General features: G+C 39.6%; 1 protein-coding gene across 7 annotated transcripts in view; it reads left to right on the plus strand.

Annotated features, from left to right (window-relative positions):
• Nucleotides 1-23,714, plus strand: part of SANBR (SANT and BTB domain regulator of CSR) — a 72,162-nt gene that overhangs the window by 9,631 nt on the left and 38,817 nt on the right. For 6 of the 7 annotated variants that reach the window (NM_001330433.2, NM_001330435.2, NM_001129993.3 and 3 more), the window contains 7 exons: nt 1,419-1,657; nt 5,951-6,009; nt 7,653-7,813; nt 12,658-12,744; nt 12,857-12,967; nt 16,963-17,086; nt 22,199-22,351. In NM_001330433.2, the coding sequence (NP_001317362.1) occupies nt 1,419-1,657; nt 5,951-6,009; nt 7,653-7,813; nt 12,658-12,744; nt 12,857-12,967; nt 16,963-17,086; nt 22,199-22,351 (934 nt within the window). The remainder of the gene's footprint in view (nt 1-1,418; nt 1,658-5,950; nt 6,010-7,652; nt 7,814-12,657; nt 12,745-12,856; nt 12,968-16,962; nt 17,087-22,198; nt 22,352-23,714) is intronic. The other variant, NM_001330434.2, reaches the window with a different exon arrangement.

The following is a 23,714-nucleotide window of genomic DNA, read 5'->3' on the forward strand; positions in this document are numbered from 1 at the left end:
TCCTGCCTTGGCCTCCCAAAGTGCTGGGATTGCAGGCGTCAGCCACCTTGCCCAGCCGACGTAATTTTCAAAGAAAGTAAATTCAAGGAGATTATAATTTTTGAAGCAGACTCTCTGATGTGTCATTTAAACTTGTGCTTAAATTATGTTTAAATATGGAAATAAGTACATTGTAGTCTTAGGAATGCTTTTAACTACATTTATTAATTTATATTTAATATATTTATATTTTATGTATGTGAATGCCTAGAAGCAAACTGTTTTGCTGTTAAAAGTAACAAAGCCATGCTAGTTATTCATTTGATTCTTTAGTGAAGAATTATAGCTATTTTTCCTTTTTAAAAAAATCTGAAAATTTTAGTATTTAATGATAATCTCTCTCCCACACCCATAACTGTGTAAAAGTGCTGTTTTATGTTCCCCACAGGAATTAGAGTGTGTTGCTTAATTTTTCTTTGTGAAATGGTATTATTTTTATAAACTTTATTTATTTATTTATTTATTTATTTAGAGACGGAGTCTTGCTCTGTCGCCCAGTCTGGAGTGCAGTGGAGCCATCTGGGCTCACTGCAACCTCCGCCTCCCGAGTTCACACCATTCTCCTGCCTCAGCCTCCTAGGTAGCTGGGACTGCAGGTGCATGCCACCATGGCCAGCTAATTTTTTGTATTTTCAGTAGAGACGGGGTTTCACCATGTTAGCCAAGATGGTCTCAATCTCCTGACCTCGTGATCCACCCGCCTCAGCCTCCCAAAGTGCTGGGATTACAGGTGTGAGCCACCGTGTGCGGCCATAAACTTTATTTTTAATGTATAACTTGAAAAATAAATTTCAAGGCTGGGCGCGGTGGCTCACGCCTGTAATCCCAGCACTTTGGGAGGCCAAGGCAGGCGGATCACGAGGTCAGAAGATTGAGACCATCCTGGCTAACACGGTGAAACCCCCTCTCTACTAAAAATACAAAAAAAAAAAAAAAAATTAGCTGGGCGCCATGGTGGGCGCCTGTAGTCCCAGCTACTCAGGAGGCTGAGGCAGGAGAATGGCATGAACCCGGGAGGCGGAGCTTACAGTGAGCCGAGATCACGTCACTGCAGTCCAGCCTGGGTGACAGAGAGAGACTCCGTCTAAAAAAAAAAAAAAAAGAAAGAAAAAGAAATTAGAAATTTCAAACTGTGTAAATTATTTGTCCTGTAGTAACCATATTTTGTTTTATTACGTCAGTAATTTGCTAAAATTAGTCATAATCTAAGATATGATCAGGCTAGCAAGACACTTGAAAAATGTCAAGACCCTATAAAACTGATTTGTGTTCAGAATTTTCAAAAACATCTTGTTCTCTTCCCTTCACTAAATGTCAGTATTCTTGACTCCTTTTCTAAAACTCTAATAATTTCATTTTTGTGTAACATTTTTATGAAGGCCAAACATGGTGATCCATGTGTGTGATGAAGCAAAAAACTTGAAAGAAGATTTTACTTGCCCGCGAGATCTTTTGATATCAGAAATGAAGTACTTTGCTGAATATTTATCTATGGATGCCCAGCGCTGGGAAGAGGTGGACATTTCAGTTCATTGCGACGTTCACATTTTCAACTGGTTGATAAAATACATTAAAAGGAACACTAAGGAGAATAAAGATTGTGAGATGCCCACTTTAGGTAAAAAACAATCTGTTGCTTAATTTGTAGTGAAATTTGTGTGTCACCTGGTAGTTTCTTCAGGCCAAAAGTGAAATGTGGAAAATTGTTTGGACACCGGTGTTTATGCTCATATTAGTAACAGCCTTTTAGGAAACTGATAACCTCATCTTTTTTAGTAAATTATAGTAAATTTATGGCAAATGAACAGATCTCTAGATCAGCAGTTCCCAATGTATGGTGTATGGACCAGTGGGATACTAGGGACCCTTTTAGAGGGTCTACAAGGTCAAAACAGTTTGCCTAATAATACCAAGATGTCACTTGACTTTCTCACTGTGTTGCTCAGATGGTACAAAAGCAATAGTGGGTAAAACTGTTGAAGCTTTAGACAAGATCAAGGCAGGGGCACCAAACTGTACTAGCAGTACATAGTTACATAGTTAATAAGAAAAAAAAAAAGAAAAGAAAAAAATCTAGTTTCACTTAAGAATGTCCTTGGTAAAGCAGTAAAAATTACTAATTTTATTAAATCTTGACCATTGAATATACATATCTTTACTGTGATGAAATGGAAAGTCCACTCCTACTGCACAGCAACACATGATTCTCTTGAGGAAAAGCACTTGTGCGATTATTTTCAGTCCTGAGGTAAATTAGCTGCTCTTTTAAAAATTGAAGACCATTTTTACTTGAGAGAACAACTGACAGAGAAATAATGGTAATTCAGACTTAGGTGTTTGGCAGACATTTTCTTGAAAATGAGCTGCTCAGTTAAAGCTGAAAGCATTTGTCACCTGCTGTCAGTGACAAAATTCAAGGTTTCCAGTGAGAATTACAGTTTTGGAAAACTTAACTTGCTTCCATGTGCTTGACAGAAGGCTTCTCAATACCTGACTTTTCTGATGAGATTGGTGGTCATATTAATGAATGTGATTTTTAAATATATTGTACAATGAAGTATTTCAACATTTGGAATATCTGTATAACTCATTGAGCCAACATTTTCCAAATGACCAATACATTTTATTTTCAAAAAGTCATGCGTGAGTGAAAGATTCATGCAAAGTGAAAGATAAATTAGAGAATTTTGTTATTAACGGAGTCAGAAAAGTTCACTGATACAGTTCAGATACATTGCAATTAACCTTTAAGAAACTACCATTTGTCAAGTTTGGTGTAGGCTACCCACAAATTGAATGCAGAAACAGATATGGGAATCCAGTTGTCTTCTGTTAAGTCAGACATTGAAGAGATTTGCAAAAAATATCAAACAGTGCTACTCTTTACTCTTTTTTTTTTGAGACAGAGTCCTCTCTTGTCACCCAGGCTGGAGTGCAACGGTGCAATCTCAGCTCACTGCAACCTCTGCCTCCCGGGTTCAAGCGGTTCTCCTGCCTCAGCCTCCCGAGTAGCTGGGATTACAGGTGCATGTCACCACGCCCTGCTAATTTTTGTATTTTTAGTAGAGACAGGGTTTTGCCTTGTTTGTCAGGCTGGTCTCGAACTCCTGACCTCAGGTGATCTGCCCGCCTCAGCCTCCTGAAGTGCTGAGATAACAGGCATGAGCCACGGCGCCCGACCTAATATTTTTCATTTTAGAAAAGGTGGTTATTTTAGGCAGGGCATGGTGGCTCACACTGGTAGTCCCAGCACTTTGACAGGCTGAGGTGGGTGGATCACTTGAGGCCAGGAGTTGGAGACCAGCCTGGCCAACATGGCAAAACCCCGTCTCTACTGAAAATACAAAAATTAGCTGGGCGTGGTGGCACCCACCTGTAATCCCAGCTACTTGGGAGGGTGAGGCATGAGAATTGCACGAGCCCATGAGGCAGAGGCTGCAGTGAGCCAAAATTGCACCACCGCATTCCAGCCTGGGTGACAGAGTGAGACCCTTTCTAAAAAAAAAAGAAAAGAAAACATAGTTATTTTAATAAAAATATGTTAACATGTAAATAGGTTTTTTGTTCTTTGTAAATGAATTCATATTTTTTGATTTCCTCTATTTTAATTTCTAATGTGATAAATACTGGCAGATACAACCCACATAAAGAAAAACCCTTTAGGATTCTCAGTTTTTAAGATTGTAAAGGGGTCCTGAGATCAAAAGTTCAAGAGCCAGTGTTCTAAATGGTAGCATACTACTAGTATTACTAGTAGAATTACTGTAATAAGAATAATTACTGAGTAATATTTCAATGGGCATATACTTGTATGATCACACTTGTGGTTTAATAGTCTTTCTATGCACTAGAATTGCTATTTACAGTAGTATTAAAATAGAACTCTTATGGAAAATAAATCTATGCTGACAGTGTAAAAGTTTTTTAAAAAACTTAATAATTTATTGTATTCTTTAGTGATCAAATTAATAGGAGAGGTTTCTAGTGGTCCTTAAATAAAAATTACAAGATTGCTAAATCAAAAATTTCAGCCAGAATCCAGAGATTCCAGACTAACCAGCTATAATATGTATGTGTGCAATAAAAATCAAAACATGTAGAGAGAGAAAAAAAATTATTCGATTCATCATATTTATGTGTGTAGTAAAGGTAAAAGAAATGCAGCAAGCCTGGCCAACATGGTGAAACCCTGTCACTATTAAAAATTCAAAAAAAATTAGCCTGGTGGCGTGTGCCTGTAGTCCCAGCTACTCAGGAGGCTGAGGAGGAGAATCTCTTGAACCCGGGAGGCAGAGGTTGCAGTGAGCAGAGATTGCGCCACTGCACTCCAGCCTGGCAACAGAGCGAGACTCCGTCTCAATTTAAAAAAAAAAAAAGCCCGGCACTCTGGCTCACGCCTGTAATCCTAGCACACTGGGAGGCCGAGGCGGACGGATCACCTGAGGTCAGGAGGCAAGACTAGCCTGGCCAACATGTTGAAACCCCGTCTCTACTAAAAGTACAAAAATAAGCCAGGCGTGGTGGCAGGTGCCTGTAGTCCCAGCTACTCGGGAGGCTGAGGCAGGAGAATCGCTTGAAACCGGAAGGCGGAGGTTGCAGTGAGCCAAGATCATGCCACTGCACTCCAGTCTGGGCGAAGGAGTGAAACTTTGTCTCAAAAAAAAAAAAAAAAAAGCAGCAAAGCTAGTCATTCTGTTATCTTTGACCTTAAATCAGTGTTTATAAATGTAAACATTTACCAAAAAAAGTCTTTATTCTAACCAGGAAAACTACCAAAATGCTTAATTAAATTTCTAATAACCTGCCACTGGTTCCTAACTGGAATGGGGTACATTACCATTTCCTGAGGTGCTTTTTCACCAGCTTTTTCCTCCCTTCACCATTTGTGTTTAAGAGCCTTCACCGGGCGTGGTGGCTCACGCCTGTAATCCCAGCACTTTGGGAGGCCAAGGCGGGCGGATCACGAGGTGAAGAGATGGAGACCATCCTGGCCAACATGGTGAAACCCTGTCTCTACTAAAAATACAAAAATTAGCTGCGTGTGGTGGTGAACGCCTGTAGTCCCAGCTACTCAGGAGGCTAATGCAGGAGACTGTCATTAACCCGGGAGGCGGAGGTTGCAGTAAGCAGAGATTGCGCCACTGCACTCCAGCCTGGCAACAGAGTGAGACTCCATCTCAAAAAAAAAACAACAACAAAAAAAAACAAAAAACCTTGAATCTAGAGTTGTTATTTAGAGACAGATTGGGATTACTTATTTTAACCATTGTCTGCTTAGTCGTTTATTTAGAATTGTGTTAGTACTGTAATGATGCAAAACAGAGTTTTCTTTCCTTAAACATACCTCGTGGGAGATGACAGGTTTGCTAAACTACAGCATCAGGCGGCATCCCCCTTTCTTTTTCTGTATGTCTGAAAGCTCACTCATTATGCCTTTAGGAAGTAAGTTTAGGACTCTGCAGTAATAAATTTTTTATCTTTCAGAATCTTTTAAAATTAAATATTTGTTCATAACAAGCATTGAACTCTTTAAATTAGCTTTTCTAATAACAAATGCTCTCATTAATCATTTAAAAAGTTTTCTATTACTTGTATATGCAATGAATTATAGTCTCAATTATCTTTTTCCCTGATTTAGTCAAGGAGAAGATTACATATGTGATATCTTTAGCTGGAGTCTTTTTACTTTATATGAATCTAACGCCAGGGTAAATTTATTGTACATTTTCTCCATACCCTAAGTTTTAACATTGAATTTTCTTTATTTTATGTATCTAACCCATAAGCTATAATAAGATTGTATTAAATTATTCTTATTCCAGTAATGTCCTCTTTTAAGGTAAGAAGGAGCCTGTTCAGAGGAGATTGGGGTACCCATCAAAAGGGTAATCTAATTTTTTTTTTTTTTTAGAGCCAGGAAATGTCATTTCAATTCTTATTTCTTCGGAGTTTTTAAAAATGGATTCACTAGTAAGTATTGACTTAAAAAAAATCAAAGTGCTTCTGTTCACTTATGCTTTCTTTTCCTTCAAGTATCTAGAAAATTCTGAGACTTTATTAAAATTATTGTTAATTGAAAAAACAATTTAAAAAATTGTTAATTCAGGAATATAATTTCTTTTTCTTGAGACAGAGTCTCGCTCTGTCACCCAGGCTGGAGTGCAGTGGCATGATCTCAGCTCACTGCAACCTCTGCTTCCCCAGCTCAAGTGATCCTCCCACCTCAGCCTCCCGAGTAGCTGGGACTACAGGCGCATGCCACTACGCCCAGCTAATTTTTCTATTTTTTGTAGAGACGGGGTTTTGCTTTGTTGCCTAGGCTGGTCTCGAACTCCTAATCTCAAGCAATCCACCTGCCTTGGCCTCCCAAAGTGCTGGAATTACAAGTGTGAGCCACCGCACCCAGCCAGAATACTCCTTTTCTATGTTAGCAAATGTGAAGTTGTTTATTTGACTCTTTGGGGTTTGTACTAGTCCCCTGTATTCTTTTATTTTTAAAATTAAATGGAGATGGGGTGGGGTGGTCTTGCTATGTTACCCAGGCTGGTCTCAAACTCCTGGGCTCAAGTGATCCTCCTGCCTCGGCCACCCAAAGTGCTGGGATTATAGGTGTGAGCCACCTATATTCCTGTATTCTTTCTACTCCTTAGCTCTTCCCCATTTAGCCCAGCTGGTATCAGGGAAGGGTTACAGAAAAAAAGCAGAGACTAAATGAGTTTTTGAGTTTTGAAATTTTTGAAACCTTTGAATTTTGAAATCTAAGCCCTAAAGGATAATTTTTATGCCATAAGCATAAATATTTGGAAGAATACATGATTATCCTCTCTTTACTTTTAAAGTAAATAAACATACCTCAGGTTGTAGAGGTATGTTGTAGAGGATGGAAGGAAGAGAGCAAACCCAGCACAACTGAGAAAATTCGGAATTGACTGAAATTTTCTGCCACCCAGGGAAAAGGAGGCTTAAAGTTCTAACTAAGTTTAATTATAAGAAGTTACAGACCAGGCGCGGTGGCTCACGCCTGTAATCCTAGCACTTGGGAGGCCAAGGCAGGCGGATCACGAGGTCAGGAGTTCAAGACCAGCCTAGCCAACATGGTGAAACGCTGTATCTACTAAAAATACAAAAATTAGCCAGGCGTGGTGGCGGGCACCTGTAGGCCCAGCTACTAGGGATGCTGAGGCAGGAGAATCGCTTGAACCCAGGAGGCAGAGGTTGCAGTGAGCTGAGATCGTGCCACAGCACTCCAGCCTGGATGACAGAGCAAGACTCCATCTCAGAAAAAAAAAAGAAGTTTACATGTTCTGTATACTTGAGTTTATAGACTAAGATTTATACCTGCCACAATTTTAAAAGATGCATTATTATTATTTGAAATATTCTAAAGAAGGTTGAAAATAATTTTTTAGGTATGTATATATGTTGTTACAAATTTGACCTGCTAGATTGCCTTTGGAACAGTACAGATTAAGTCAAAAACTGGGTGGCAAAACCCAGTTAGTGCCTAGCAATATATGGATTAGACTTTTAATGAATTTTATCTTTGAAAGGTATTGCTATGACATTGTCCTTCATGCTACTATTTTCGACATTTATTTTCTATGATTTTTTAGGTTGAACAGTGTATTCAGTATTGCCACAAAAATATGAATGCCATAGTAGCTACCCCATGCAACATGAACTGTATTAATGCAAATCTTCTCACACGTATAGCTGATCTGTTCTCACACAATGAAGTTGATGATTTAAAGGACAAAAAAGATAAATTTAAAAGGTAATTTCAAAAGTTTAATTTTAAACCTAATACTCCTGTTAAAAGAAATATATTTCTATTTCATGTGAGTGAAATATTCTTTCTTTTTTCTTTTTTCTTTGAGAAAGGTTCTCACTCTGTTGTTCAGGCTGGAGTGCAGTGGTGCAATCTTGGCTCACTGCAGCCTCAACCTCCTGAGCTCTGGTGATCCTCCCACCTCAGCCTCCCAAGTAGCTGGGACTACAGGAATGCACCACCATGCCCAGCTAAATTAAAAAAAAAAAAAAAAATTTTGACCAGGCACAGTGGCTCACGCTTGTAATCCCAGCACTTTGGGAGGCCGAGGCGGGCAGATCACGAGGTCAAGAGATCAAGGCCATCCTGGCTAACATGGTGAAACCCCGTCTCTACTAAAAATACAAAAAATTAGCCAGGTGTGGTGGCAGGCGCCTGTAGTCCCAGCTGCTTGGGTGGCTGAGGCAGGAGAATGGCATGAACCTGGGAGGCGGAGCTTGCAGTGAGCCGAGATCACGCCACTGCACTCCAGCCTGGGTGACAGAGCGAGACTCCGTCTCAAAAAAAAAAAAAACTTTTTGTAGAGACAGGGTCTCACTTTGTTGCCCAGTTTTTGAAATTAATTTTTACTCTCTCTTTTCATTTATAGTTAGCTTATTATTATTATTTTGAGACGGTCTCTCTCTGTCGCCCAGGCTGGAGTGCAGTAGCAAGATACCAGCCACAACCTGTACCTTCAGGCTCAAGCGATCCTTCCACCTCAGCCTTCCAAGTAGCTGGAACCACAGGCGCACGCCACCATGCGCAGCTGATTTTTGTATTTTTTGTAGAGATGGGGGTTTGCTGCGTTGCCCAGCCTGGTCTTGAACTCCTGGGCTCAAGCAATCCACCCGCCTTGGCCTCCCAAAGTGCTGGGATTACAGGTGTGAGCCACCATGCCTGGCCAAAATACTCTATTTTTAGAATATATTTAGAAATATATTTCTATTTTTAAATGAAGTAAGTAAAGTGAAGTAAAATTTATCCAGAGCCAATGGCTCAAGATAAAAATTAGTAATTAGTTACTTTGTATAATGGCCATATGAACATATCGTGATAGTGAATTATGTTAAAAATTATGAAGATATTACTCAAGAGGCTGAGGTGGGATGATTGCTTGAGGCCAGGTGTTGAAAGCTGTAGGGCACTACTATTATCCCTCTGAAAAGCCACTGCACTCCAGCCTGGGCAACATAGTGAGACCCATTTCTAAACAAATAAAAATTATTAAAACAGACCTTAGATAAAGGGAAAAGTGGTATGAAACGAGGTCAGCAGTGGTTATATCATTTAAGGGTTGTTTAGGTCATAGCAAGGAGGATATACTTTAGGTGTGAATGCAAGCAGGGGAGTGACGTGATCTGATTTGTTGTTAAGAGGCCATTTTTGGTTGCTATGTGGAGAATAGACATTAGGGATTTAAGAAGCAAGGAGACCTGTTAAGAGGCTGGTGCAGTAGTCTGTTGAGAAGTGAAAGGGTTTGCACTAGGGTAGAAACGGTAGAGCTGGAAAGAAGTAGATGGACTCAGTTGTTAGATTTGACAGATTTATGAATGTAATGATGTGGGGAGAGAGAGAGGATTCCAGGATAATTATTAGGTTTTCAGTTTGAGTAACTAAGTGGATGGTAGTGCTATTAATGGAGAAAGGAAAGATTGGGAGAGGAAGGAATAGGGTAAGGGAAATCAAGAGATAGCTTTAGTTCTTTTTGAGATTATTTAACATGCTTCTTGGACATTCAAGTGGGATGGCAAGTAGATACCTGGATATATTAATCTGGAGTTTAGGTCAAAGGTCAGGACTTAAAATAGAAATTTAAGAGTAGATGAGATTTGAAACCATGGAACTGGATGAGACCATACTTTTTTTGTATGTCCTGTTCAATAAATCTTTGCCTCCCTAAAAGTGGTGAAGACATTGTCCTATGTTTTTCTGTTATTCATCTTGAATTAATTTTTTTTTGTGGTATGAGGTAGGGGTCAAGGTTCATTTTTTTTTCCCCAAATAGATATCTAGTTGACACAATACCATATGTTGAAAAGACCATCCTTTCCCCCACTGAATTGCACTAGTACGTTTACTATATGTGAAGTCTGTTTCCGAATTGTCCTTTGTGTTCTGTTGATTTCTTTGTCTATCCTTGTATCAGTAGCACACTGTTACACTGTCTTTTTTTTTTTGAGACAGAATTTCACTCTTGTCACCCAGGCTGGAGTGCAATCATGAGATCTCGACTCTCTGCAACCGCCGCCTCCCAGGTTCAAGCAATTCTCCTGCCTCAGCCTCCCAAGTAGCTGGGATTATAGGCACCCACCACCACACCCAGCCAATTTTTATATTTTTAGTAGAGACGGGGTTTCACCATGCTGGCCAGGCTGGTCTTGAACTCCTGACCTCAGGTGATCCGCCCGCCTCGGCCTCCCAACGTGCTGAGATTACAGACGTGAGCCACCACACCCAGCCAACACACTGTCTTAATTTTGATAGCTTTATAATCATTTTTGGTATCTGGTAATTTAAATTCTCAAGTTTTGCCTATCTTCAAGATTGTAGTGTTGTCTATTAAGTTCTTGGCATTTCTATATAAATTTGATAATCAGCTTACCCATTTTCTCTTTCTCACAATCACATAAACCTGCTAGAATTTGGGATTCATGTAATCTGTAGATCAATTTAGGAAGATTTAACCTTTTAATAATAGTGTGTCTTTCAATCCATGAATATGGTATAACCTTCCATTAATTTGAATCCTCCTTAATTTATTTCACCAATGTCTTGTAGTTTTCAATGTAGAGATATTTTTCCTTTTTATTTATTTTATTTTATTTTTTGAGACAGGGTCTTCTTGCTCAGTCACCCAAGCTGGAGGGTAGTGGTACAGCCATGGCTTACTGCGGCCTCAAACTCCTGGGCTCAAGCATCCTCCCACCTTGATCTCCCAAAGTTTTGGAATTAACAAGTGTGAGCCACCATACCCAACCTCTTTTTTAAATTAAATTTATTCCTAAAATAAATTAAATAAATAAATTTATTTAATAAATTAAATTGTTGGTGCTATTGTAAATGCTACTGTATTTCATTTTTTAATTGTTAGCAAAATAGTATTGATAAAGGCTACCCAATATTTAGAGATGCAGCAGAGGAGAAGTAGCCAGTTAAGAACCTGAGAAGGAGGAGCCAGTGAAGTAGAAAGAAAGGCAGAAGGAAAAAAGGTTTCCAAAGAAAGATAATGCTTAAGTGACCAAATGTGTGGAATGCTGCCATCACATAGAGTAAGATGGGGACAGAAATGTGACCAAGTGGATTTAGAAAACTTTTTTCCGGATGTTTTACTTTGCATGACTGCTGAAAAAATTAGCAGTAGCTATTAGGGATAGGTAGGCTCAAGAGAGGATTTTTTGTTTTTTTAGGAAGGGAGATACTAGATTATGTTTATATGCTGATCAGAATGATCCATTAGGAATAAATTAATAATGCAGGGGATTATTCAAGAATTTAATCCTTAAGGGGAACAACACAGAGAGGAATTATCCAAGAGCTAAATAATTGAAAACAGAAATGGAATTCTAAATCCAGATTTGGCTTTTAATAGCAGAAGACATTACACAAGGAAAGATGGAGACAGGTAGGATATACATTTAGAATTAAAGACATACTTAGAAGACTCAAGTTCAGTTATATTATGCATAATAATTAACGTTTATTGAATGCTTAACGTTATATCTAGTACTCTTTAAAAACATCACTTAACCCTCATAAAACTTTATGAGATTGGACATACTAACCACACTTTATACTTGAGAAAACAAGGTTCAAAGAGGTTAAGTAAGTGGCTAAAGATCATATACCTAGTTATTGGTAGGCCTCGGTTGTTAAATTCTCAAAATCTTTAATGTTGCATATTCCAGTAACAAAGGACTAAAAGAGGCCAGGCAAGGTGGCTCAAGCCTGTAATCTCAGCACTTCGGGAGGCCAAAGCAGGAGGATTACTTGAAGGCCAGGAGTCTGAGGCCAGCCTGGGCAACATAGCCAGCCCCAATCTCTACAGATTTTTTTTTTTTTTAATTAACTGAATGTGGTGGCACACAGTAGTCCTAGCTACTTGGGAGGCTGATGTGGGAGATCACCTGATCCCAGGAGTTTGAGGCCCAGGAGTCTGAGGTGCCACTGCACTCCAGCGTGGGTGATGGAGCAAGACCCTGTCTCTAAAAAAATAAAATAAGGCCGGGTGCAGTGGCTCACGCCTGTAATCCCAGTACTTTGGGAGGCTGAGGTGGGCGGATCATGAGGTCAAGAGATCGAGACCATCCTGGCCAATATGGTGAAACCCAATCTCTACTAAAAATACAAAAAATTTGCTGGGCATGGTCATGCACACCTGTAGTCCCAGCTACTCGGGATGCTCAGGCAGGATAATCGCTTGAACCCGGAAGGCAGAGGTTGCAGTGAGCAGAGATCGTGCTGTTGAACTCCAGCCTGGGCGACAGAGTGAGACTCTGTCTCAAAAAAAAAAAGTAAAAATAAAAAATAAAATTTAAAAATGACTGAAAGATAGCTATTTATCAATCTTATTTTTTATGGGAAAATAGATGATTGATCAAGCAGTTCTCATCAGAACTGCTTTATTTTATTTACTTAATAATAAACTGTTAATTTTATTTACTTAGAACACTAAAAATGTATTATAAACTCCCAAGAGAGCCACTAAGGATTTATTAATCTTATTTTACAAATGCACAGATTGGTTTGTTTATTTTCATCACTATAAAGTAGTGTAGAAAATTAATATTTTGGTCATTTGTTGTTAATAGCAAACTTTTTTGTAAGAAGATTGAAAGACTGTTTGATCCTGAGTACTTGAATCCAGATTCTCGGAGTAATGCAGCAACATTGTATAGGTATGCTAACATGTTTTTTTCTTTGGTGTACTTTATAATGCAGCTATATTCTTTAATTTACTACATTTACATTCTTCTTCCTGGATGTTTTTTGTATCTTCTTTGTTTATAGATGCTGTTTGTGTAAGAAACTTTTAACAAAAGAAACAGAAAGAAGAATTCCTTGCATTCCTGGAAAAATCAATGTGGATCGACGTGGAAATATTGTCTATATTCACATAAGGTGTCGTGAAGATAAAATACATACATGTATTTTTGTATATATATATATATAGTTGTTGTTGTTGTTTTGGAGACGGAGTCTTACTCTGTCACCCAGGCTGGCGTGCAGTGGTGTGGTCTTGGCTGACTGCAACCTTCCGCCTCCCAGGTTCAAGCGATTCTCCTGCCTCAGCTTCCTGAGAAGCTGGGACTACAGGCGTGTGCCACCACACCCAGCTAGTTTTTGTATTTTTAGTAGAGATGGAGTTTCACTGTGTTGGCCAGGCTGGTCTCGAACTCCTGACCTCATGATTTGCCCGCCTTGGCCTCCCAAAGTACTGGGATTATAGGTGTGAGCCACCGCTCCCAGCCCAGATTTTTTTTAAATGTGAATTTCTAGCATATTTATAAAAATATAACTACTTTTATAAGGAATGGGATAACATCTTTTCTGCATGTTATCCAACTTTCATTTAGAAAAATACTTTCTAAACAAGGTAGTTGTTAGTACATTTTATTTACTGGGTAAGTGTCATAATGTTTTACACATTAAAATGATAAAAATTATTGTATATTAATCTTGAAAGGTATTCTGGTTAGTGCCTTTAAAATGCTCTCTTTTCACTAACAGATTTTAGTTATCTGTACAAATGTTATATTGAATTTTACAAGAGAACCAAATTTACTTTCAGGTAAATTTTGGTGAGGAAAATTGTCTTTAGCATTGGATTTTCTGTCATCTATTTGTTCTTCATACTTTGTCAGTATTTCATTAATATGTAGGCCGGGCACGGTGGCTCACACCTATAATCCCAGCACTTTGGGAGGCCAAGTCAGGTGGATCACCTGAGGTGAGGAGTTTGAGACCAGCCTGACCAACATGGTGAGACCCCGTCTCTACTACAAAAAACTAGTTGAGCATGGTGGTGGGTGCCTGTAGTCTCAGCTACTTGGGAGGCTAAAGCAGGGGACTCACTTGAACCCAGGAGGCAGAGGTTGCAGTGAACCGAGATAGTGCCACTGCACTCCAGCCTGGTGACAGAGCAAGACTCCATCTGAAAAAAATAAATAAAATAAAAATTAGCTGGGAATGGTGGTGCACACCTGTAACCCAGCTACTTGGGAGGCCAAGGCAGGAGAATCACTTGAACCCGGGAGGTGGAGGTTGCAGTGAGCCGAGAGCACACCATTGCACTCCAGCCTAGACAACAAGAGTGAAACTCCATCTCAAATAAATAAAATAAATAAATACATAATACATATTTCTCTTTATGTTCAAAACAAGTTCTCATTCTGAGTTGAGGGTGGGTGTTGTAACTTGGTATAATGTCTCAGGAGGCAGAAACCTCAAAATGTGTATTCTTTGACATCCTTCATCCAGTATCATTCAGGCTGAAATGCAGTGGTGCAATCATAGCTCACTGCAGCCTTGAACTCCTGGGCTCAAGAGATCTTCTTGCCTGTATTCTCAGCATTTTGGGAGGCTGAGGTGAGAGGATTACTTGAGACCAGGAGTTTGAGACCAGCCTGGGCAACATAGCCAGACCCCATCTCTACAAAAAAATTAAAAATTAGCTGAGCATGGCAATCCTAGCTAGGAGTCTGAGGCAGGAGGATCATTTGATCCCAGGAGTTTGAGGTTGCAGTGAGCTAGGAGCATGCCACTGAACTGCAGTCTGGACAACAGAGCAAAACAAAGTTATGAAAAAGTACATAGATACATAAAAGTTGTTAGTGGTTAAAAAAATAGGATGTTCACTAAAACATTAATTGTGGTGTTACCTTTCAGTGATAGTATTACAGATGATTTTAATTTTCTTTTTGTTGTTCTTTTTTCTATATTACAAATTTATAGCACACACTGTTATGAAAGAAACCCTATGAATGTTAAATTTCATATATATATATACACCTATTAGTAGTATGTGAAAAAAGTAATTGATACTAACTTCAACATCCATTTTTGTTGTTTTATTCAAAGTATTTTCCTACATGTCAGCAGTTGATGTATACCTTTTTTTTTTTATTTTAGAGACAGTCTTTGTTGCTCAGGCTGGAATGCAGTGGTGCAATCATAGCTCACAGTCTCTCTCTGTTGCTGAGGCTGGAATGCAGTGGCGGAATGCAGTGGTGCGATCATAGCTCACTGCAGCCTTGAACTCCTGGACTTTCAAGCAGTCCTCCCACATCAGCCTCCTGAGCTAGGACCATGGGTGTGCATCACCATGCCTGGCAACCTGGCAATTGTGTATGTGTGTGTGGGCACAGGGTTTGTGTGTGTGTGTGTGTGTGTGTGTGTGTGTGTAGGCACAGGGTTTCACTGTGTTGCCAAGGCTGGTCTTCAACTCCTGGCCTCAGGCCTCAAGCGATCTTCCCACTTCAGCCTCTCAAAGCGCTAGGATTACAGGTGTGAGCCGCCATTCCTGGCAGATGTATACATTTAAAAAATTGTTTTAAAATTCCTTTTTTTTTTTTTTTTTGAGTTGGAGTCTCACTCTGTCACCCAGGCTGGAGTGCAATGGCACAATCTTGGATCACTGCAGCCTCCACCTCCCAGGTTCAAGCAGTTCTTCTGCCTCAGACTCAGCCTCCCGAGTAAGCCTCTCTGGCCTAAAATTACTTTTAAGACAAATGTGCCTGTGTAATTTGTAATAACATCATGACATTTTATTTTTGAGCTAAGCACAAAACCAGCAAAATTAGAAAAGATTGAAATAAAGACTTAAAAGAATCAGGCCTATAATCCCAGCAGTTTGGGAGGCTGAGTCAGGAGGATTGCTTAAGGGCAGGAGTTTAAGACCAGCCTGGGCAACATAGTGAGGCCCCCTTCTCTACAAAAATTGTTTTATATTAGCCAGGTGTAGGTTTGGCATGGTGGCTCATGCTTGTAATCCTAGCACTTTGGGAGACTGAGGCGGGTGGATCACCTGAGGTCAAGAGTTCGGGAAAAGCCTGGCCAATGTGGTAAAACCCCGTCTCTACTAAAAAAATACAAAAATTAGCCAGGCATGGTGGCATGCACCTGTAATTCCAGCTCCTCGGGAGGCTGAGGCAGGAGAATCGCTTGAACCCAGCAGGGCAGAGGTTGCAGTGAGCCAGGATCGCGCCACTTCACTCCAGCCTGGGCGAAAGAGTGAAACTCCGTCCAAAAAAAAAAAAAAAAATTAGCCAGGTGTGATGACACATAACCTGTAATCCCAGGTACTCAGGAGGCTGAGGCGAGAGGATTACTTGAACCAAGGAGTTTGAAGTTGCAATAAGCTATGATGATTGCACCACTGCACTCCAGGCTGGGTAACAGAGTATGACCCTGTCTCAAAAACGAAACAAAAACAAAAACAAAAAACAAACTTGAGTTGCATATGACCATAGCAAATATGGTTTTGAGGCTTTGCTATTTTTTAACTTTATATTATTTAATCTAAAAATCTATATTACCAAGACCTGATTGTATATTCTGTATCACTCAATTACTAAAAGATACTTGAAAATAGTGTAAAATACTAATACATTAATGAAATGTTATTAGTGATATAAAGTACTAATACATGAATGATTCTAATGTTTAGAATCACCAGTAACTAATAACAACTTGTCATATAACATATGCAATTAGAATAAAGCTTCCATTTAACATTTGCCTAATTCCCAACTCTTGGCCTGTTCAAACTATATTTAATTTGTAATCCTTTATCTAGCTTAGCAAAATTATTTGGTATTCAAATCATTCATACCTTTTCCTGTTGTCCACCAAATATACAAACCCTGCCTCTACTAAAAATACAAAATTAGCTGGGTGTGGTGGCACACGCCTATAATCCCAGCTACTTGGGAAGCCAAGGCAAGAGAATTGCTTGCATCCTGGAGGTGGTGGTTACAGTGAGCCAAGATCATGCCATTGCACTCCAGCCTGGGCAACAAGAGTGAAACTCCATCTCAAAGAAGATAATAATTAAATAAATAAATAAAACAAATTGTTTATATCACTTGCTTGTAAAATTGAGGCTCTTTCTCCAGAGATAAGACATGGGATGTTCATGAGTATTTGAATAGTCTTTTCGAAGAATTAAAATCTTGGAGAGATGTATACTGGCGATTGTGGGGAACAATCAATTGGCTGACTTGTTCAAGATGTTATCAGGTAAGATTTTTTTTTTTAAATATCCTGCTCTGCAAATATTGAGAGCAAGATTATTTTGATATCTGCTGTTTAATTGATATGTTTAAATGTGTTTTGACAATATCCAACATCTTTTTAAAGAAACTAGTGGCAGCTGGGCATGGTGGCTCGTGCCTGTAATCCCAGCACATTTAGAGACCAAGGCAGGTGGATCGTTTTAGCCCAGGAGTTCAATACCAGCCTGGGTGACATAGTGAGACTCCATCTCTTAAAAAAATGAAACTAGGCCCGGTATGGTGGCTCATGCCTCTAATTCCAGCACTTTGGGAGGCCGAGGTGGGCGGATCACGAGGTCAGGAAATCAAGACCATCCTATCTAACATGGTGAAACCCCATCTCTAGTAAAAATACGAAAAATTACCCGGTTGTGGTGGCACATGCCTGTAATCCCAGCTATTCGGGAGGCTGAGGCAGGAGAATCACTTGAACCCGGGAGGCAGAGATTGCAGAGAGCTGAGATCGTGCCACTGCACTCCAGCCTGGGTGACAGAGCAAGACTCCATCTCAAAAATAAAATAAAATAAAATATAAAAATAAAATAAAACTAGTGGCAAAAGCAATGGTGCTGTTAAACATTTTTTGCATCTGGTTTCATTTCTCTTGACATTGTTTCTTCTTTCTCTTTTTTTATTTCCATTCCTGAAACAATCAAAGACTTGTTGAATTTTTAGAAAAGCAACAGGTTTTGGCCAGGCACGGTGGCTCACGCCTGTAATCCCAGCACTTTGGGAGGTTGAGGCAGGTGGATCACCTGAGGTCAGGAATTCCAGACCAGCCTGACCAACATGGAGAAACCTCATCTCTACTAAAAACGCAAAATTAGCCAGGCGTGGTGGCGCATGCCTGTAATCCCAGCTACTCAGTGGGCTGAAGTGGGAGAATCACTTGAACCCGGGAGGCAGAGGTTGCGGTGAGCTGAGATTGCGCCATTGCACTCCAGTCTGGGAAAGGAGGGAAACTCTGTCTCAAAAGAGAAAAAAAAAAAAGTCACTTGTTTTAAGTGATCAAATCCAGTTTTTCAGTGAAAACAATTATTAAAAAATCCTTATTGCCTTCACTTGTTTCCAGCCAAACTATTTTCTCTGTTGTTCTATACACTTCTATAGAAATTCAGAAGCACCTTTGCAGATAGGATGCTATTGATATGTGCCTTTGTTGTTACAACAATTTTGTTCCCAAAAAGTTTTTGTTTTTTAATTAATGTTTATAATAAAAGCATAAGAAAACTTGCTACTTGTAGGAACCTATAATAAACCCTTTTGTGGAATAAATAGGTTTTTCTAAGTCACAGTCATTCCTAATTAATCTTATGTATAAATGCAGAGTTTTCGACAAATAATTTCTTTTGAATCCCTAAAGTTTTCCTCTCCCCAGTAATTTTCCTCTGTCACTTGCGTAATGATTTTCAATAGAGGGAAGGAAGAACAGCTTGTCAAAATCTTCAGATTGGGATTTTAAACTGTTTAAGTTCCCACTCAATGGGTTCTGTGTTCCCACAATTTTAAAAAGGTTTGTTGAAGTATTATATACAGTAAAATGCATCCTTTTTGTGAGTTTCGACAGTGCTTACAATTGTATAACTACCTCCGCAATCAAAGCATGTAACACTTCCATCACCCTAAAAGAAATTTCTTTGTGCCGCTCTTTAGTCAATTAATTCCCCCACCCTAGCCTCTGGTAACCACTGGTCTGTTTTCTCTATATATAGTTTTGCCTTTTCCAGAACGTCATATAAATAGGATCATATAGCATTTAGCTTTTTGAATCTAGCTTCCTTCACTTCGAATAATGGATGTAAAATCTATCCATGTTGTTTCATAAATTAGTTTGTTCTTTTTTATGGCTAAGTAGTAGTCTGTTGTATGACTATATCACAGTATGTTCAGACATTCACCAGTTGGAGGATGTTTGTGGTCTAGTGTGGAGCCATTATGAAGAAAGCTGCTATAAACAATACAGGTTTTCCTGTGAACATAGGTTTTTATTTCTCTTGGATGTATTTATTTCTCTTCTTTTTTTTTTTTTTTTTTTTTTGAGATGGAGTTTCACTCTTGTTGCCCAACCTGGAGTGCGCTGGCGCCATCTTGGCTCACTGCAACCTCCACCTCCCAGGTTCAAGCGATTCTCCTGTCTCAGCCTCCTGAGTAGCTGGGATTACTGGCATGCGCCACATCACCCGCCTAATTTTTTGTATTTTTAGTAGAAATGGGGTTTCACCAGGTTAGCCAGGCTGGTCTCAAACTCCTGACCTCAGGTGATCCGCCTGCCTTGGCCTCCCAAAGTGCTGGGATTATAGGCCTGAGCCACTGCGCCCGGCCTCTCTTCTTTCTTATTACCTAGGAGTAGGATTGCTGGTTTGTGTGGTAGTTTAACACTTGCCATGCCTAATAGTTTTCCAAAGTCCCGGAACCATTTTGCATTTCTACCAGCTACATATGAGAGTTCTAGTTGCCCCCCATCTCAGTAGCAATTGATATAGTCAGGTTTGGGTTTTTTGTTAATCTAATAGGTGTGTAAAGGTCCTCCTCACAATCGGAGTGTGACATAATCAAGGATATCAAGCTTCTAAAATCTGACTTGCTTAACATGTCAGAATGCAGAAACTTTGAGAGATTATTTTCCTCTCCTTTACAGCAAATTGAATATTGATTGATGATATTGACTATTTATTATAGAGCTCATAAACTCATAAAATGGTTTGTATGCAGAATATTGTATATAAGAGAACGTGCACCTTATAGTTTTTATAGGTTCTCAAATTTTTAAAATTAAAAACCATTATGTGAACATCACAATTGAAACTAACAACCAAAAATTCTGAATTATAGGCAGCTGAAAATTCTGAATTATAAACTATTCTTTAATGCATTTATGTTAAAGATCATTGCTTATCAAATAGCAACTTCAGTACATCATAATATAAATAGAAAAAAAAGATCAGTGCTTAGATTGTTAATGTTTTGTTTTTATTTGAATTATTTTACTAACTTGTTTTTGTTTTTAACCTGTTCTCGCTCAGAGTCCCTCTCCTCCCCGACAGGACCCTATTCAGGTTTCCCCTTCTTAAAGTCTCCCCCAGTGAGGAACTCTCTCAACAAGGGCCCACTCCTGGTGCAGTACTATAGCTTTTCATCCCACCTCAGAGTCCCCCGCAAAAAGAAACAAGTGATCAGAGTACCAGTCAGGGTACCTCCTAAAAGCCCAGCGATGTCCCCTCCATCCAGTCCAAGGTTTCACTTTTTCACCTTTTCTGGTCCTTTCCCCAACAGCTATTAATGGTATTATCCATTCAGGTCTTTCTTCACCCCAGGCCTTGTGGGACCACCCTTAATCATCCAGTGGTACTGCCCCCTCTTAGGATATACCACCACCGCTCACACAGGATCTCCACCCAGAAACAATGACATCTGGGGTCTTTCTCCAGTCCCCTGGCATGGTATTTCTTACAAACTTTCTACCTCCCACTGGCTAATGGAATTGCCCTCCCAATGGCTCCCGCAACCATGACACAAAAACCCAACACCCACTTCCTTCCTTTCTAGATAAAATGGTTTTACCTTCTCAAGATCTCCTGCCTTCAAAGCCCAACATTATCATCACCCACCAATGGTGCCCCCTGCACAGGCCCAAAAGTCTTGTCCCCTCTAGATCTGAGTAAGATATCACCTACTCAAGGATGCTCTCCCTAGCCCACAAGGCTAACAGAATCCAACCTTCAGAGCCCCATAGTATCTCTGAATCCAATAATTTTACCACTCAGAGCCTCAGTTTCCCTTCTCCAAACCAACTCCTGGGACTCAGGGTCCATCCTAACCAACCTTTTCTCAGAACTGGTGGCACAACCTCTGTCTACCCACCAGCCCCCAGCTGCCTAGTCCAGTGGTCTTCCCCATCGCAAGCAGCACCTGTGTCCACTGAAACTCCTTAGACAGTGCTTGCACCATGTTCTTTTTTTCTTTTTCTTTTTTCCTGAGATGGGATCTTGCTACATTGCCCAGGCTGGCCTCGAATTCCTAGGTTTAAGCAGTCCTTCTGCCTCAGCCTCCCTAGTAGCTGGAGTGACAGGTGTGTACCATCGTACCTGGTCCTATTTTACTAACTTATAAACAATTGAAACCTGATGTTTAATTTGACAATTAAACCTTGATAAGCTTTTATCAAAGTTTTCAAAGCCAGTGATTCAAAGTTATGTCATAATTTTTATTAATACTGATGCTAAATATTTACCTTAAAAATGCATCAAGGGGCCAGGCATGGTGGCTCACGCCTGTAATCCCAGCACTTTGGGAGGCTGAAGCAGGCGGATCACCTGAGGTCAGAAGTTCAAGACCAGCCTGACCAACATGGCAAAACCCTGTCTCTACTAAAAATAGAAAAACTAGCCAGGTGTGGTTGTGCGCGCCTGTAATCCCAGCTACTCAGGAGGCTGAGGCAGGAGAATTGCTTGAATCTGGGAGGCGGAGGTAGCAGTGAGGCTAGATGGCACCACTTCACTCCAGCCTGGGCAACAGAGCGAGATTCCATCTCCAAAAAAGAAAGCATCAAGGAATAACCAAATGAAGCAAAATTTTATTTTTCTTTGGAAAACATTTGAGGTGATTGGCCAGTTGTAAAATTGAGTGTATATCAAGATCAGTTTAATTCATCTGAATTTTGCTTAAGGTGATTTCATTTTTTGCTGTCTAATAGCTTTATTCAAGTAGAATTACACGCCATAAAATTTACTCATTTTATTTTTTTATTTTTATTAAGTTAGGTTGTGTTCAGGATTTACTCTTTTTAAGTCTGCAATTCACTTTTTTTTTGGTAAATTTAGAGTTGTACAGTCATCACCATCATCCAATTTTAGCACATTTCCATCACCTCAAAAAGATCCCTCATGCCCATTTGCTGCTATTCCACATTATAACCTTCCACCCCTGGCAACCACTAATCTACTTTGTGTCTGTATAGATTGGCTTTTTCTGCATATTTCATATAAAAATGGAACATATAATATTTGGTCTTAAGTATTTTTGAAACATATAATTTTGTTGTGGAAATAGTAGTTGATTTTATCTATGTCTTTATCAGGCCTTTCTCTGTATTGAATTTTCACATTGTCAATACCACTCAGAAACAGTGGTTTATCCTACTGCAGCAAGTTCATTGAATACTGTTGGCACTGGAATTTATCCCTGCTGTAACCAAAAGGTTCTTCGGTTTGATCCTACTCAGCTTACAAAGGTGAATTTTGAATATTGCCCTTAGTAGCTACAGTTTTTAAAGTATAACAGTAATACATTAATGTATAAAAGACTTCAAACAATACATAAATATAGTAAGAAGCCGTTCCTCTTTATAACACTCCCCCATTTTCCATCTCTTCTTAGAGATAATCACTGTTAATGGTTTCCTTTTAGACCTTCTTTTGTACCTTTCAGGCACAAATTATATATATATATATATATATTTTTTGGAGGTTTTTGTTTTTTGTTTTTTTGTTTTTTTTTTTTGAGATGGGGTCTCGCTCTGTTGCCCAGGGTGGAGTGCAGTGGTGCCATCTCGGCTCACTCCAGCCTCTGCCTCCCAGGCTCAAACAATCCTCCCACCTCAGCCTTCTGAGTAGCTGGGACTACAGGCACACGCCATCACACCCGGTAATTTTTTGTATTTTTGTTAGAGACAGGGTTTCGCCATGTTGCCCAGGCTGGTCTCGAACTCATGAGCTGAAGCGATCTGCCTGCTTTGGCCTCCCAGAGTGCCGGGATTACAGGTGTGAGCCACCACACCCAGCCTTATATATGGCTTTTTATATTGGAAACAAGATCATACTAATAATATTCTGTAATTTGCCTTTTTTACTCAACAACATAACTAGGGTATCTTTCTGTGCCATTTTATTTAACTGCTGTATAATATTCCAAGCTATGTATATATCACAATTTAACCATTCTCCTATTAATGAACATGTAGGTGGTTTCTAGACTGATGGTATTACTGTGTTGCAGTGAATATCCTTGCACATATATATTGGTGCAATGTGTGAGTATTGCTGTAGGTTAGATTCTCTGATCACAAACACTTTTGAAAATGTTATGTAATTAAATGTCACGTGTGAATGAAAGGAACCTAAAGCTCTTTATCATCATCCATACAAAAAATATTTATAAAGCACCAAAGATGTGCTATACACTGTGCAAGGCAGAGGATAGCCTGTAAACTTGGATCATTTATGCCTTTATGGAACTTACAGCTGAGGCAGTAATAACAAAAGGGAAAAAAGCACCCAAAGAAATGTTTGAAGACATATACAGGGCCATAAATGTCTGTAATAGGCTGGTATGATTCAGCCATAGATGTCAAGGAAATCCTCAAAGGAGCTGGCATTAGGTTGAGATCTGAAGGATTCGTAGGAGTACGTGAGGTGAAGAGGAAAGGAAAGAGCATTCTAGTCAGAACAGCAAGGTCAGAAGGAACATAGTGAGTAAAAGAGACTGAAAGAGCCTGAGGCTGTTGTAGAAAACATGCATAGTTCAAGACAAGGCTGGAGAGGTAGGTAGGTGTCAGTCCATGCAGGAGCAGGACCTCATAAGCCATGTTCAAGTTT

This window comes from Homo sapiens, chromosome 2 (genome assembly GCF_000001405.40).
Source record: "Homo sapiens chromosome 2, GRCh38.p14 Primary Assembly".
NCBI lineage: Eukaryota > Metazoa > Chordata > Mammalia > Primates > Hominidae > Homo > Homo sapiens.